A 15146-nucleotide genomic window follows, 5' to 3' on the forward strand; every position below is an offset into this window, starting at 1 on the left:
TTGGAATGGAATCTGGCCTGTCTGACTCTAAGCCCTGGATCCACTGTAATACATTATAACTGCTAGCTTTGCAAAATGCCTTTTTCCTTTTCTCATCTATTTTCACACTCAAACTAAAATTTAGTAAACTAAATTCTGAGCAGCAGAAAAAATTTTAGTAAAGGTCCTCTCATCCTTGAAGAACTTCTTATATAAGGATACTCCTTCTTGCTCCCTTTCCCACGCAGAACTTTACCAAAGGTCAGTAAGAATGGGCTGTTGTGTTTTCTCTCAAATCCTATACAGAAGTCCTTAATTCCGAGGTAAACATCTGAATGGAACAAATGAGTATGATCTGGGGGTTAAGGCAATTTTCAAGTGTGTGTATGTGTGTGTCTGTTTTAAGGCATAACAAAGTCCAGAGATTAAGGCCGAGTTAAAAAACAAATGAGGACAAACCAATGAGGACAAACCAGTCCGCTGAGGTGCGGCCAGAGCAGCAGCAACTGTGGCTGCTTTCTTGATAAAGGCTGTGAAGACGGCACGTTTTACTCTTATTCGTGTATTTCTTTTGACACTTTACCCCTCTATGAAGCCTCAGAGGTGTTTTAAAATTGTGTTAGGAAACACACAGAGATAAGAAAAGGCAAATGGTCCTGATCTAGTGTCTCAGGGAAGAGGCTGGAAAGGAAACGCGGCGCGAGTGGGGTGGGAGAGGGGGCCTGTGGTTTTGCTTCTGTCCGGGCTGAAGACTGAGTAAGGTAGGGCCCCTCCTTCTGCGGATGGGTTTCTCTCTCATTCCACCCTCCACCCACCTCCGGTTCCGCGTGCACGCGCGAGATAGTCCAGTGGGCCCACAGATAACGACCATCAGAGATTAAAGAAGGAAAGTCAGCGAGCTTGAACACAGGCGTCCCGTGTGGAAATGTCCAAGGAGACCGCCAGAAGTGCGCAAGCCGGAGTCGGCTAGAGTTTCCTTCTCACCGAGAGGGGGAGCCCGGCGTTCCCGGCCGGGAGCGACCCGGAGTCCCCAGCCCCGCGTCCCAGCTGCCGCCAGCGCCAGTTTTGGATTCGGCGGATTAGGAAGAGGAGGGAGGGGGGAGAGAGCGCGAAGAGGGAGGGGACCGAAGCTGGAGGGTCCCGAGTCCAGCGCCGTGTTGGCGTAGAGAAACTTTCCCTCTCGGCCTCGGAGACGGCGCCCCGGCCGTGCCGGAGTGGAGATCGCCAGGCTCGGAGGAACCGGCAGCTCTCCACGCCCCTGCCCGAAGCCTGACCCGACTGCCTCTCTCAGTGAGGTACGGAGATTTATCTAGGCTCTTCCCTGGCTGCGAACCCAGGCTCCCTCCAGGTAGCGTGGAATCGCTTAGAAGCTGATATCCCGAGGGGCGGTGGGGGTGGACAGCTCCGGCCACCAGTGCCCGGGAAGGAGGGCGCGGGGCTGCGCGTAGCCGCTGGCCAGCAGGTTGTAAAAAATTAGGACAGCTAAATGCTCAGGGAGTCGTCCAGCACTAAAGGAGGCTAAGACCTGTTGACGCCTGCTATGGCAGCGCTTGAGAAATGACTGGGGGAGTCCAGCGAGGTCGGGGACGCAGCGGTCTCCGGGCTCCAGAAACCTCCTTAGCCTTTTGTGGTAACTTTGGTCCGGCGGCGGGGGGCCGGTGAGCAGGAACTGGAGGGAGGCGGTGGGGAAACCGTGGATCCGTCCGGCTGAGGGTGCGTGGATCAGACTGGGCTGAGCAGGCAAGTCATCGTCGGGTCACAGCGAGGCGACCCAGGAGCGAACTTCCAGGGCAGCCTCCCTTTTGTTGGCGCTGGGAGAGAATGTGGGCATGGGGGTGGGGAGGCGCGAAGCTCCGAGGCCGGGCCGCGGATACTTTAAAGCTCAGAGCTGGGAGGGCCCAAAGGAAGGGGCGGCGTCCACATGGTTACCCTTCTGCTGCGCGGGTCAAGTAGCTTCTTCTGGAGGGCGCAAGGCGCGGCGGGGGTGATGAGCCCTTGGGTTCTCGCTCCGACTGCTAAATTCGCTTGGCCGGGTCCACCTTCTCGTGGCCTCACTCGCCACACGGATCAGAATCCGGAGCAGGCAGTTCTCTCTATTCTGAGGCTCCTGCGGCTGCCGCGCTGACTTCCCTGTGTGCGGGAGGGAACTCTGGGCAGGCTGGTTTTCTTGGAATGTGTTTACGATGTTGAATGGGACTTGAACAGGAAGCTGGACGCTGCAGCTGGAACTAGCGTGCCAAGGTAGAGTAAGGAAGACTTAGCTGGTGTTGGGCTTGGCGGGTCCACTTGGTACGCTGGGCAAACTCCAAGTAAGTGAGGGCTGGCAGTCAAGGTACCCCTCCCTAGGTCCTAGTAGTGTTTCCCAACTGAGCTCGCCTTACTCATTTGCAATCAGACATTTTACATGCACTATTTCAATCTGCAAGTTTGACAAAGTGTAATGCAGTCAATTAGGAAGGATTTAATAAATTTATTTTGTGCCTGCTTTTAAAATACGTTACACCAACATTTGAGAATAAAAAGTTACGGAGAATGTTCAAGTCATGACTGATTTCTAGGACTAGCAGGAGACAATACTGATGATTTTGTGTCTGTATTACAAAATGGGTGATTAGGTGCTAAAGTAAGGGAGATTATTAGACAGAGTGAATGTGAGGAAGTGGAAAACTTTCAGAGGAATTGGAAATTCTTCAAATTTGCAAATTGCTCCCTTTCTCTGCCAGTCTTTCCCTTTTCCCCCCATATGAACAAGTAGCCTTGGCTGGAAAACCCACAAATTGGGAGAGTGCAGTCGCTGGTGACTACAGGCTTTGCTGGAAACAGCAGACAGGCTAAGGTACTGCCCCACTGCATAATTAAAGGTCTCCTTGAGCTGTCCAGGAGTGTTTTCCAAGTTTTTACGACTGACAAGGAAAAAAAGAGAGGAACCTGGCCGGCAGCCAAACTAGACTGAGCTCAGTAGCCAGGCATGAAAGAGACTGGGCAAGTTGCAGGGGCTAATTGGAAAGGGGCTGTCGGTTGCACTTGGGGTTTAAACAAGAGGTTTCTTTTGCAATGAGAATTTTTAGGTGGCTAAGATCAGTCTTCTTGGCAAAAAAATAAACTAAGCATAGAGTGCAGTTGGATATGACCGAGGAAATTACAAAAAGGGCTCCAGGAGCAAAGTCTGAACTTTCCTTATCAGTGTTGCAGTGGAATAGCTGGGGGCCTGATGCTGTTTGTGCTGATCATACTTTGCAAATGCCCACACTTTGTTGCTGTTTGTCTCCTTGGACGAGGTTTGCTGCAACTTCAATTCCTTGACTTCGGCCTTACTTTGTTTTCATAGCAGCAAGAATTGAAGACTTAAGGGTTTGAGCAGATGGTTTTCTACCTAAATTGAATAATTCAATTACGTATTCTCAGCTAGCATGGATTTGGGTCATGGAATTAAAGTAGAAACGTATCCGGCATGACTTCTTTGTGCTTATCAAAAGTGATCCTGATAAACAGATCTTGCTCTTTCATGTAAAGAAGTAAAAGGTGAGATGATCTCAGTATTTCACACATTTGCCCTTTACTGCTTCCTAATTCCAAACCAGCTAGGAACTCAAAGCCTTAACTGCAATTCAGACTCTTCTTTGTGTATTAAAGTTGTGTATGTTTCATCTCTCTTTTTTTTTTCTTCAGAGAGGTGGGTTGTAGGTTTACTATTGTGGGCTTAGGGGTTAAATGGTTAAAACAAACAAACAAACAAACAAACTAATGTGGTTTATATTTCCTCTGTATTTAAGAGTTTGAGATTGTGAATATTAGCCTGCTTTCTGAGACTCACTTTGTGAATCACCCTCAGCCAAATGTTTTCCCTGACTATGATTTCAGTTTTTCCACTTGCAAAGTAAAGAAACTTTCCTTTACATAATTACAAGATTATTGTGAGAATTAAAGAGATGAAATAATGTTAATAGGCTTTTCGACATAAAGGTCATAGGATTTCTGACTCAGCTGACTCAGTTGAGTTTATGGGGATAAAATAGGAATACTTCTATGTTGAATACCCATGTAATAATGACATATCTGGATCTAATTTATAAAAATTACCACTTTTACATTTTAATCATAGCTTTAATTTAATCATACATTTTAATTTTTGAGGATATAAGGGAGATTTTGTTATGGTTAAGGCTGAGTCATTTTCTCAAACAGAAAAGAACAATTAGCACATTCATTTATTTTTATTTCAGTTTATATTTATACACAAGACCAGTTATTTTTAAAGTCCAGCTTAATTTTACCTTTATGAGAAGTTACCAAGTATATTCACAGAACTTGGCTCTCTTCTCAGAAATAATGCTTGAGAAGCTGAAATATATTTATGACATACAAACAGACTTTCTTTTCTTAATGGCCACAACAATTTCCTTAAGAATTTGGAGGATAGATTTTGGAGCCATTCATTAATAAATCCAGCCAATGTTTGTTGCATGCATATCATGCATCATCGGGCCTGTATTCCAATCAGCACCGAACTTCTCAGCTCTGTGATTTCTGTGCATGTTATTTTACTTCTTAAACATTTTTCCAACATATCATTTATTGCCTATGTTTCTGTCTATAATTTATGAGCCTGTTCATTGTTGATTCATTATGATCATTGTGAAATATTTACTTTTTAGTGTGACATGTCAATTAGTAAAATATACTACATATTTTTATGGTTCATTGTACTGTGCTACAGTCATGGATGTTTAACTTAACTCTTTTTCGGGTGAACAGATCAACTTATTAGAGAAAACAGAATAAGTATAGATAAATTGTTTAAAGGATAAAGTCTTTTGCTAAAATACCTAGTCATAGCTTTTATTTTTAGACTTTATATTATAATTAATAGTGAATCTGTAAAAAGCACGTGTATATGGGATATAGTAGTTGGGTTGAAACTTACACTATGGGTATCCTTGAACAAGTGGCTGTTTGAGGATATATTAGGGTAATTTTAATATAAAATGTCAAATTTTACCTTTCATTTTAAATTAGAAATCCTTAAAATTCTTATTTCCATTGATGAATGGTAGGTGATTTTAATTTAAATTTTACTTAGCAGAGTGATGTATTTGTGATTCAATTCGCGATATTGCAATTTGTTTTCTAAAACCTCTAAAGAATAAAAAAAGTTATTTTATTTCAGTATAATAATGAATTCAAAGATAGTTACAGAAGCTAACTGCATAACTGCCATGAGCCCTGGTCCCTAAACGTATTAGAGGCTGGTGGATCTAATATTGTTTGCCTTAATGCATTTAGAGATCAGGAAACTTAAGCTTTTTCCCATAAGAGCATAAAATATACTCAGATTGGAAGAGGAAAAAATGGTATAACTTTGAATGGAGAAATCGCTTCACTTTCAAATACTGGGGATATGAAATTGAAATCAGGCCTTTATTTTTAAAGAGAATGGCTAAAAGTCATTGTTCCAGAGTAAGACTTAGAAAACAATGCTTATACTGTTTTCAGGCCCTTGTTATTTGCGAGTTTTTTGTTTGTTTTATGCCTAAGAAATGTTTTCAGCCACTCTAATGATGCTTACCATGCATGATTGTCATCAGAGGACAGTTAATTGACTCAAATATTGTGTGGGATAGTAAGTGTCAATTTTCTGTTTACATTGAAATGGTATAGTTATGGCGAATTTGAAATTAGTTTTGTCTTTCAGTGTAGTATACTTAAAAATAGTTTTGAAAAGGCTGCCCTAATTTGCACACATAATATGAATAAGTAAGTTAACTTATATAGAAATTAAGATTTTCAGTATATTTTGTGCTAAATTGCAAAGATTAATATGGCTTTTTAAAGGAAGTTTTGAATAGCCTTGTATGTATTTTCTAGGATGCAACTAAGAGAGTGCATCTAGATATCAATACCTGCCTTTATTTCATGTTTGTTTTTTGCTATTAACATTATATAAATGTACCTATACATCAGCTGTATCATATACCTCCTGATGAAGAAGTTCAGAATAGACCTTAGAAACTTCCATATTTTGGGGGACTACTTTCTCTCTGTCTCTCTGTCTCTGTCGTTCTCTCTCTCTTTGTCTGTCTCTCTCTCTGTCTCCATTTCTTTCTCCCTTTCTGTGTGTGCATACTTATGATACATATATATTCTTTGATGTTTCTCTATTTGTGCTATAGTTTTTCTGTAGGGAAAAATAGCTTCAGTTAATTGATATTTTTGAGCCCAATTTTAACAACTAATTAAAAATGTTTCCCAGATAAGTATTGCTAGAAATCCTAGAAATCCTTTTTTTTTTCTTTTTTCCAAATTCTAAAAGTGTTTTTAGACTTCTATTTATACCTCCGAAAGAAGAGAAAAATAGTTGGCAAGATCTTCTACCTACATTCTTTGTTGTAGGCTCTAATGATGGCATACTCATGGAAGCCCTTTCTACTCTTCTTAAGTAGAACACAAGCACATGTACAGTTAACTACTGTAAGAAGGTAAATTCACTACTTAGAAGTTAGATACTACTGATAAGTTTATCAGGTATTGTGAAGTGAGAATTTTATACAAATGTAGTGTTTTCCTGGTATGGTACAGCTTTTTCTTAATATTAGGTGTTACAGTTGATCCATTTCTTGAAACTTCATCCACCAGTCCTCCAGGAACATCAAGGATCTTAAACTTTGCCAGAGCTACAAAGGCAAAGTTTAAGATCCTTGAAGTTCCTGGGGGAACCATGGATGGCTATCCTTATTTCTATAAGAGAGGAGACTGAATACTGTGGGCTCAGTCTTCAGTCTACCCTCTTATAGAAATAAAGACAATCATTTCAGAGCATACATAATCTACTGACTGAATCATTAATGATTTGCCTGTTTATAGCTGTATAATATTTCATGAGGTGATAACTATTGTTCTCATTTGGTTTGTATTTAAATTAGATAATATCAATTTTAAATATAATTTTAGCCAAAAAAAATCAAACAGAACATTTGTAGTATGGTAGCAAACGTGCAAATTTGGGATAAAAAATTGAAATAAGAGAATAAATGTGATTTTAGCTTCTCAATTTTTTTCATAGCCATTTATAACCATCAAGAGATACCATGTTTTAAGTAAAATTTTAATAGCAAATAGGTTCATTTACCCAGATTTCAACCTAGGTGAATTAAAACATAGGGTTATAAGTACTAATGAGAGTTTTAAGAAACAGTATTTTGTAAAGTATCTTTGAAGGTCAAACTACATGTTATGCTCTGTAATTTATTTTATTTTTGTCTGCTTTGAGGAACTGTGTAGTAATAAAGGACTTTGGTTGATGATCAAACTCTCCTTTTACTTCCTTGATGATGTGTGTTATTATAGTCATAAAGATGTCCAATAACATAAACACTGAACTTTACTAGTAGTGCAAATAAATACAGAGAAAGTTTGGCTGATTAGAAAGAACAATTGCATAACTGAATTAATTTCAAAGCAATTTATCTCTATGCTGAATATGTTAATTAAATATAATTAGAGGGTGTTTATGGATTGTAGTATCTCAGAATATAGTTTGAGAGAATTTTTAAGGAGTCACATTTGAGTAAACAAATTTTATTTGAAATTACGTAAATGCAATATGAAATGGCAAAAGTCTATTGGTATTTTAGATTTATAAAATAGCATTGTTTTAGAGTAACAATGGCTATTGCTTTAAATTTTTATGAATTATTTTTTCTGTTTTAATGCATCACCATGACTGGATATGTAGGAGAAAAACCTTTAAGCTTCTTAGCAGTAAATCAGTAAGAGGTCTCATATTGCTAATGTCTTTAGTCATTTTAAAGGAAGAACTACTAAATTTGTAAAATCTGAGTTATCATAGGTTTAGCTGATTACATTAAGCAGACTAGGAAATTCATGATCAATTTGGAAAAATAAAATTTTCTAGAGTAGTACAGATGAGGTTTTAGAGAACAACATTTTAGACTTGATGTTGTTGGAAGTAAATGCTCGGTGCTGCCAAGTGAATATAGCACTCAGGCAAAAGTTTGCTCAGCAAGGCAATTTACTTCTATAAAAGGGTGCCTCTCACGGATGGAGCAATGGCAAGAGCACACCAGACAAGGGAGGAGAAGGGGATCTTACTATTAATGCAGCTAGTCCCTACTGCTTGTTTTTCCCCTATTGGGTAGGGTTGGACCGCACAGTCTAAGATAATTCCAACTGGCTATTTTAAAGACAGCAGGGGTATGAGCTGGAGTGGCGGGGTGAGAAGCTTTGGTGGGAAGGACGGTTACAGAGCAGGTGACCAAGGATGACTAAGGACAGAGCAGGTGACTAAGGAGGGAGCAGGTGACTAAGGATGACTAAGGACAGAGCAGGTGACTAAGGAGGGAGCAGGTGACTAAGGATGACTAAGGACAGAGCAGGTGATAGAGGCTAGGAGGGGGTTGTTTACTAAAGCTAGGGACAAGGAGATGTAAAGAACGAGGAAGTTAAACTTTCAAATGGAAAACAAAGAACAGGGAAGCTCAATATACTAACATATTGGTTCTTTGAAGAGGAATTTACTGTATCCTACAATGTAATGAATCTTTCTTTGGGACTTTCTTATTCAATGAGATTTTGTCTTTATTCAGTGATTTTCCATTCACTTAATATACATTTGAAGTCTTTCCCCCCTTCTCATTCTGGGAAATATAACTGTGTTTAAACTGTGCATCTGCAAATAAAGAGATTCTGATATGATACAGTTGAATTTAATAAATACTTATCAAATAACACTTGTTCTTTTTGTAGTTGTGTGATTAGTAGGTGACAGAGACCTCCTCTTATTAACTTAAATAGAAGTTGGTATTTCTATATAATTCTGAGGTACAGTGCAGAGGATGTTGAGGAAGGAGGAGTGGGGAAAGCGGGTATTCACCAGTGTGAAGGGAAGCAGTGTATGGAAAGAATGTGTGCAGGTGATTCTTAGACCAAGTCACAGAGGATGAGGATGAGTTGGGCAGGCATTGAAAAGGGACAGTGTCAGTCAGAGCAGGTGGGATAGGCAAGAAGGCATGAAGCCATGAATGTGGTTTAGGAGAACAACTTGTGGATTTTACAGTTATAGAGATGTTCCTCCTTTATGTTTCCATGTTCATGAACTAACCATTAGTAATTACATAAAGGAGTTTTAGCTGGATTAATAGTTTTAGCTGAATAATTTTAGCTGGATTATCTTGCAAAACAACCATCTTGTTTTTCTTTCTTTTTTTCCATTTCTCCAGACCTGATCAGCATGTAATTGGAATCACAAGGAGTAGGTTGTGCTCTCGATTTCATATTTATATTTAATTTCAGAACATGCAAATTAAAAAAATTTTTAATCACAGCATTAACTATATTGGGAGGAGTTATGATTTGGCTCTGCATCTTGTCTTATATTTGTTTATTTTTCATATATAAAGAACAGATGTGTTAAATAGTTATCTACTTGGTAGTAAGTAACTGTGCCAGTATTAACAATTTTTATGAATAATATTGAAAAAATAATTTTTTTCTGAACATATGGAAACTTGATAATTTTTCTATGCATCATTGACTTATTTAAGATTATATATTTGGTTATATGGTGTGGATTACTTACTGATCATTGTTGATAAAAAATTTAAATGTGTGCTAAGAAGTTTGGAAAACGAATTTAGAATATGTACAAGTACAACAAATTACTATCTTATGAAGGGGACCTATAATTAAAACATATATAACATAATTTAGTTCGCTATATTCCCTTCTTTTTGCTTGGCTTGACCATTCTGTGAGATACATCTATTTTAAAATTAGTTTATTATTGATGTTTGATTTATTTGAAACTAATGATTCAACTTTATTTTTGAAGTATGTGACAAGAGCAGTCTCTTTAAACTTGTTAATTTGAAATAGTTAATATATAGAGCTTCACATTTATAAATCAGTTTAGTAGGTCTGGACCACCTTGAAGTTCCAGGGATGGGTCTAAGGTAATAGTTTTGTACTTGAAAATTGACAATACTGTCAAGATCACAATAAGAAATAACTGTCTTTCAGTCTCTTTCTGGCTTTTGGCTTCACTTTGTGTTTTCTGTAATGGTAAGCATCAAGCACCACTGACACTTATTTGCTTCCTTCTCCTGTTGAATGTCCAGGTTCCTGTTTATTTATTTATTTATTTTAGAGACAGGGTCTCACTCTGTCACCCAACCCGGAGTGCACTGGTGCAATCATAGCTCACTGCAGCCTCAAACTCCTGGACTCAAGTAATCCTCCCACTTCAGCCTCCCAAGTAGCTGAAACTATAGGTGCATGCCACCATGCATGGCTAATTTTTAAATTTTTACAATTCCTTCTAGAGACAGGTTCTCACTGTGTTGCCCAGGCTTGTCTAGAACTCCTGGGCTTAAACAATTCTCTGGCTTTGACCTGCCAATGTGCTGGTATTACAGGTGTGAGCACTGTACTTGGCTCCAAGTTCCCTTTTAATGACAATGACATTGGGTTAAACCAGGTGTGATTTTGTACCTGAAGTTAACTCTTCTTTCCGTTTCTTGCATTTCCATTTGTAAGAAGCATGTTTTCACTTTTGAGAGCTATATCACCTTCCTTGTACTGTGGCATAAATTATTGATAGTCCACTAAAATCTATTCCTTATTCTTCTTTTCCCTGGTATTATTCAAATGTCCACTCTTTCCCACATAACTCAGGGGAAGTCAATCCTACTCCTAATTCAAGGGAATTTTAGATTAGGTTCAGCTAAAAATCTTGGTGTTTCTATGCCCCTTGGCAGTGATTGTTCCTTGTCCCAGTTTTAGTCATATGTCACATGTCAGGTGAAATGAGAGGACTAAGGGGAATGGGTAGAAAAGATTTAGTTCCACTTAGCAAGGGAACATTGGATGAGAAAGCACATGTTGGCTTTTGATATTTGTCCTATCTGGAATACATGCTTCTTCAAATTGCTACAGGGATCATCTTTTGTCACGAGGAGATTCAGCTTGAGGGCAAAACAAATGCCTTAAAATGGCAGAAAAAATATAAAACCTTGGGTACTTGATGGAATCATTGGGTTCTTGACTCCCTACTATATTTCTGGATTTACTGCTGTGTGAGATAATGAATTTCTTTCTTTTTCAAACCAACTTGAATAAAATATTTGGCTACTTAAAATAGTATCCTAATTATAGCCATTATTAAATGATATCTTAATTTTGTAAATAAAAGTTTTAGAAGTAGTAATTTAGATTATTGAAGAAACTTTACAGACTACTTGGGTTTTGTAAATTTTAGATATGGTTAGTGCTATTAGTCTATAAAAACTTATTATTCAAATCACCATGCATTAAGTTTTTAATACAGTAGATAAGTCAATCATCTTATTAACTAGATTTATTTTAAAATGAATAAATTATGCAGGAGGTAGAGGCTAGCAAAACTAGGAATAATCTAACAAGCTCAGACAATAGAGAACTAAATTTAAAATTTTTTGAAATATAAATTCATAATCTAATCAGTTCACAAAATTATACCACTATTTATTGGCTGTGTGGTATCTTTAGTGTATTGAAAACATTAAATATACATAAAGAAATATTGAAGCAATTTCAGTGCCTGGTCTGAGTAATTTAAAACTTACAGTGTGATGTTAAGACTAATTAGTAACTATTTAAATATAGAAGATAAAGCTGATAAAAGTAAAATTTTAAAAAATGGTAAACTATAGTTCCACTCACAGAGGTATAAAAAAATACAGACATACAGTAAACTTTTAAGTAAGAGCTAGTGACAAAGATTTTCTCCTTGACCAAATCCTGGTCAGGCTCTTGTGCGTCCTCTTCTCAACCAGGCCTTGACTTTTGGGCTTCTGTGTTCTGATCTGCATTGCCAAATTTAGCAAGAATCCTGCTAAGTGTCTTTGGCCATCCTCAATATTTGACCACTCTATATCTAATGAGGGTCCTCACCTTCCACCATTTCCCAGATGATATCTCATCACCCTAACCTTCATTCAGCAAGAATCCTGACTAGTAATTTTTCTTCCACTGTCTTACATCCTGCTATTTGGCTACAAATTCCTACTTTTTCTTGTAGTATTTGAAGTTGAGCCTAATTTTTCTTACTCACTGCAAAAACCCCATTGCAATGGTCCCAACGCCTGTTATGATGGTCCTGAATAAAGTTTGCCTTCCTGTTCTTTAATAATGTCATGAATCATTTTTTTCAACACTAATTTTATAAAACTCTAGTTCACTGGAACCATTAGCAATTTAATCTTTTTCTGCCACCAAGTTCTTGACCTGACCCAGCCTTTACAATGACTTAGCAGTATGCATATTGGTTTTTGTAATGTGCTCTAATCAAAGTAGGGAGATATATATCTCTTTGTCTTTTTGCCCTGAAGGTGGTAGGAATAACCCAAATCTGAGAATTGACAAGAGCAGGGATGAAATATATTTTGGAGTATTATTGCTCGCTTTAGCTGAAATAGTTAACCAAGTAGTTTAAGCAGGAGGTGGAGGCAAGCAGAACTAGGACTAACCTAACCTGCTGAAAGAATAGGCAAAGTGTCATAATGGGCAGGTTTGCTGGGAATGAGGGATGTGAGAAATAAAAAGCCAGAGGTTGTGTGGGCAGTGCACTTGAAGAGAGTTGGTGAAACTGTAGGTAGGAATGTTACAGATGCTGAAAGTCTGCAGTAAAGCTGTGTGGCAACCAGGTCATTGGTCAAGACTGAGAAAGGCTAATGTATTAGAACTGGTATCAGTATGGGTGTTAAAAGCATGGAGATTGGGTTGGAGGGAAACATAGCCAATAACTGGAATACCTAAGGAAAGTGAAAGAGACATTAGAGAAGCAGTTATTGATGGCGACATTTGAAGTAACAAGACCTCCTACATTACTGTGATTGACTTGTGCATATTAGTTTTTTTGCATAAGAATGCAATAAACATGCTTGAGATGCTTGCTTTATGAGATCATGACCTTCATTCATGGCAACTAAGGAAGTCACCACACTGGGGAAGCTAGGCAAGGGAGACCAGAGAATACAAAGTGCTGCAATTCTCAGAGGATTACTGTTCTTTTGGAAATGATTGTTTAGAGATTGTCCTGGGGCCCCCCTCTGCCCTTACAGAATAGGAGTACCCTCTGGCGACCTTTGCTTGTTTTAAAAGGGAGCCACATTCTTGTGGGTTTTTGAATGAGAATAAATGCTGCTTGGTATGGAAATTACCATAAAGGAACTCTGCTTATGGAAGAGTTTGGAAATTATAGTAGAAAATATAACTTGGCTCACAGCAGATATAAAATGAGGGAAAGGATGTATATCTAGATAATTCAATTTCCAACTCCCACTTGTGCTGAAATAATCAGATAAAGTAAAAATAGCACCCTTCCTTAATTTGTCTCTTTCTGTCTATTAAGATCTTCATAAGATTCATAAGATTCATATTAACATCTTCATAAGATTTCTCTAATCTATTTTCTTATACCTATGAGTTGACACCAAAATGGATTTTTCGAACCAGAGAGTAAAGATACAAAGAATAGTATTTAGAGTGCTATGTCCTAAGCATCATGTTAAATGTTTTTTACAATTTACAAATGGTAAAGAAACTTGTCTAAGTATCCACAGCCAGCAAACAGTGGAACCAGGGCAATTGGTAGGATGGGAAGTAATGCGTCTCAACCACCATACTAGCTGAAAAAGTGTGCTGTTGAATGCCAACTGGACAGTTAGGCCACCTTTGTAGCTGTCTTTACAAGTGAGAATGTAACACCTTTGAATTACCTGACTTCCTAGATTCCTGGCAGATGCTCGATTCCTTCTTTTTTGTCCCTCTGATGGCACAATGAGCTACTTATTTCCTGCTCTTAGGCATAGCTACTTGTACCTCCTGTGTGATAAGACATTTGTTCATTTTATCCTCTTCAGTCAGATAAAGCATAAAAATTAATGCATTGTTTAAGGAAAAACTCTCAAACTATGTTTTTCCTCTGCTCTCATACAACAACAACCAGCACAGATGACTTCTGTGACCAAATATATGGGTTTTTTTCCCCATCAATAAGCAGTGGACAGCAAATGAGTGTCTTCTAATTCAATTCTGACATTATCTCTCTGGAGATAATGTCAGATCTCACAGGTTGAGGGCTCATTCCCCAAGACTGCCCCTCATGCCCCTCCAACACTTGTTGGAAGTCCGGGCCTCTGTAACTTCTGACCCACTGACTTCAAGCTGGAGTTCCCACGATCCCCTCTTTGGATGTGATTAATTCGCTGAAGCAGCTTACAGAACTCAAGGAAACACTTACTTATGTTTACCAGTTTATTATAAAGGATAATAGAAAGGATGCAGATGAAGAGATGCATAGGGCGACGTATAGGGACTTACATGCCTTCCCTGGGTGGGCCACCCTCCAAGAACCTCTACATGTTCAGCTATCCAGAAGGATGCTCTCTGAACCCTTTTTGGGTTTTGAGGAAGGCTTCATTATATAGGCATGATTGACAACCAACAGTGTAGAAATGTGATTGGACAAAGCACATGATCTAAACCCAGAAAGGCCTGTCTGTTCAGACTTTTCTTGGCCCCTCTGTGTAGCATTCCTTCCTTTAGGGTATGGGGGAGGACTCTCTGTAATGAGTGTTTTGATTCACAATCAGATTAGAGTCCTGCTTGGGCAGGTAAAGGAAGGACAGGAGGTCAGAGAGGTTTCCTGAGGCCTAAAGTGCTCCAGCATTATAACAAGGACTATGAAAGTTGGGAGCCAGGAAATGTGGATGAAAAACAATATATAATTATCGTGATACCACATCCATTGACAATGTTTTGTCTGCATATTCCTTTGACTTTTGCCTGATTTGATTTGTCAGGATAGTTAAAATGTTAGGTGAGATAGTCTAATTTCTTCTTTTTAAAAAGATTTTCAAAATTTATTTTCAAGACAGTCTTGTTCTGTCGCCCAGGCTGGAGTGGAGTGGCGCAATCTTGGCTCACTGCTGCCTCTGCCTCCCAGGTTCATGTGAGTCTCCTGCTTCCGTCTCCTGAGTAACTGGGATTGCAGGCATGTGCCACTGCGCCTGGCTAATTTTTGTATTTTTAGTAGAGACGGGGTTTCACCATGTTGGCCAGGCTGGTCTCGAATTCCTGACCTCAAGTGATCCGCCCTCCTCAGCCTCCCA

The 15146-nt window shown here is 38.9% G+C and overlaps 1 protein-coding gene and 1 non-coding gene across 65 annotated transcripts in view, besides 5 other annotated features; both read left to right on the top strand.

Annotated features, from left to right (window-relative positions):
• Positions 1–981: 981 nt before the first annotated feature.
• Positions 982–15146, top strand: part of GULP1 (GULP PTB domain containing engulfment adaptor 1) — a 304053-nt gene continuing 289888 nt past the window's right edge. For 24 of the 64 annotated variants that reach the window (NR_164744.1, NM_001375934.1, NM_001375927.1 and 21 more), the window contains exon 1: positions 982–1274. The gene's annotated coding sequence lies outside the window, so the exon portion shown is untranslated. Of the gene's footprint in view, positions 1720–1935; positions 2289–3307; positions 3502–15146 lie in introns of those variants that run through there. The other 40 variants (NR_164745.1, NM_001375942.1, NM_001375939.1 and 37 more) reach the window with 7 other exon arrangements.
• Positions 2834–3717: an enhancer, noted in NCBI's record as "H3K27ac hESC enhancer chr2:189158453-189159336 (GRCh37/hg19 assembly coordinates)". NCBI's record gives its function as "activates a minimal SCP1, AML or CMV promoter by ChIP-STARR-seq in primed H9 embryonic stem cells {active_cell/tissue: H9 hESC(primed)}" and the evidence as "EXISTENCE:reporter gene assay evidence [ECO:0000049][PMID:30033119]".
• MIR561 (microRNA 561) lies at positions 6600–6696 on the top strand. The gene has a single exon (NR_030287.1). It is a non-coding gene; the product is annotated as a microRNA 561 (primary transcript).
• Positions 7720–8919: an enhancer, noted in NCBI's record as "P300/CBP strongly-dependent group 1 enhancer chr2:189163339-189164538 (GRCh37/hg19 assembly coordinates)". NCBI's record gives its function as "activates an origin of replication core promoter dependent on BRD2, BRD4, P300/CBP, MED14 and CDK7 cofactors, with strong dependence on P300/CBP, by STARR-seq in HCT116 cells {active_cell/tissue: HCT116}" and the evidence as "EXISTENCE:reporter gene assay evidence [ECO:0000049][PMID:35650434]".
• Positions 8050–8344: an enhancer, noted in NCBI's record as "tiled region #8257; HepG2 Activating non-DNase unmatched - State 24:Quies, and K562 Activating non-DNase unmatched - State 9:DNaseU". NCBI's record gives its function as "activates a minimal TATA promoter and a strong SV40 promoter by Sharpr-MPRA in HepG2 cells, with weaker activation in K562 cells {active_cell/tissue: HepG2 | K562}" and the evidence as "EXISTENCE:reporter gene assay evidence [ECO:0000049][PMID:27701403]".
• Positions 12318–13235: an enhancer, noted in NCBI's record as "OCT4-NANOG-H3K27ac hESC enhancer chr2:189167937-189168854 (GRCh37/hg19 assembly coordinates)". NCBI's record gives its function as "activates a minimal SCP1, AML or CMV promoter by ChIP-STARR-seq in naive H9 embryonic stem cells {active_cell/tissue: H9 hESC(naive)}" and the evidence as "EXISTENCE:reporter gene assay evidence [ECO:0000049][PMID:30033119]".
• Positions 13236–14153: an enhancer, noted in NCBI's record as "OCT4-NANOG-H3K27ac-H3K4me1 hESC enhancer chr2:189168855-189169772 (GRCh37/hg19 assembly coordinates)". NCBI's record gives its function as "activates a minimal SCP1, AML or CMV promoter by ChIP-STARR-seq in naive H9 embryonic stem cells {active_cell/tissue: H9 hESC(naive)}" and the evidence as "EXISTENCE:reporter gene assay evidence [ECO:0000049][PMID:30033119]".

The sequence above is a fragment of the Homo sapiens genome, chromosome 2 (assembly GCF_000001405.40).
Source record: "Homo sapiens chromosome 2, GRCh38.p14 Primary Assembly".
In the NCBI taxonomy this organism is placed as follows: Eukaryota; Metazoa; Chordata; class Mammalia; order Primates; family Hominidae; genus Homo; species Homo sapiens.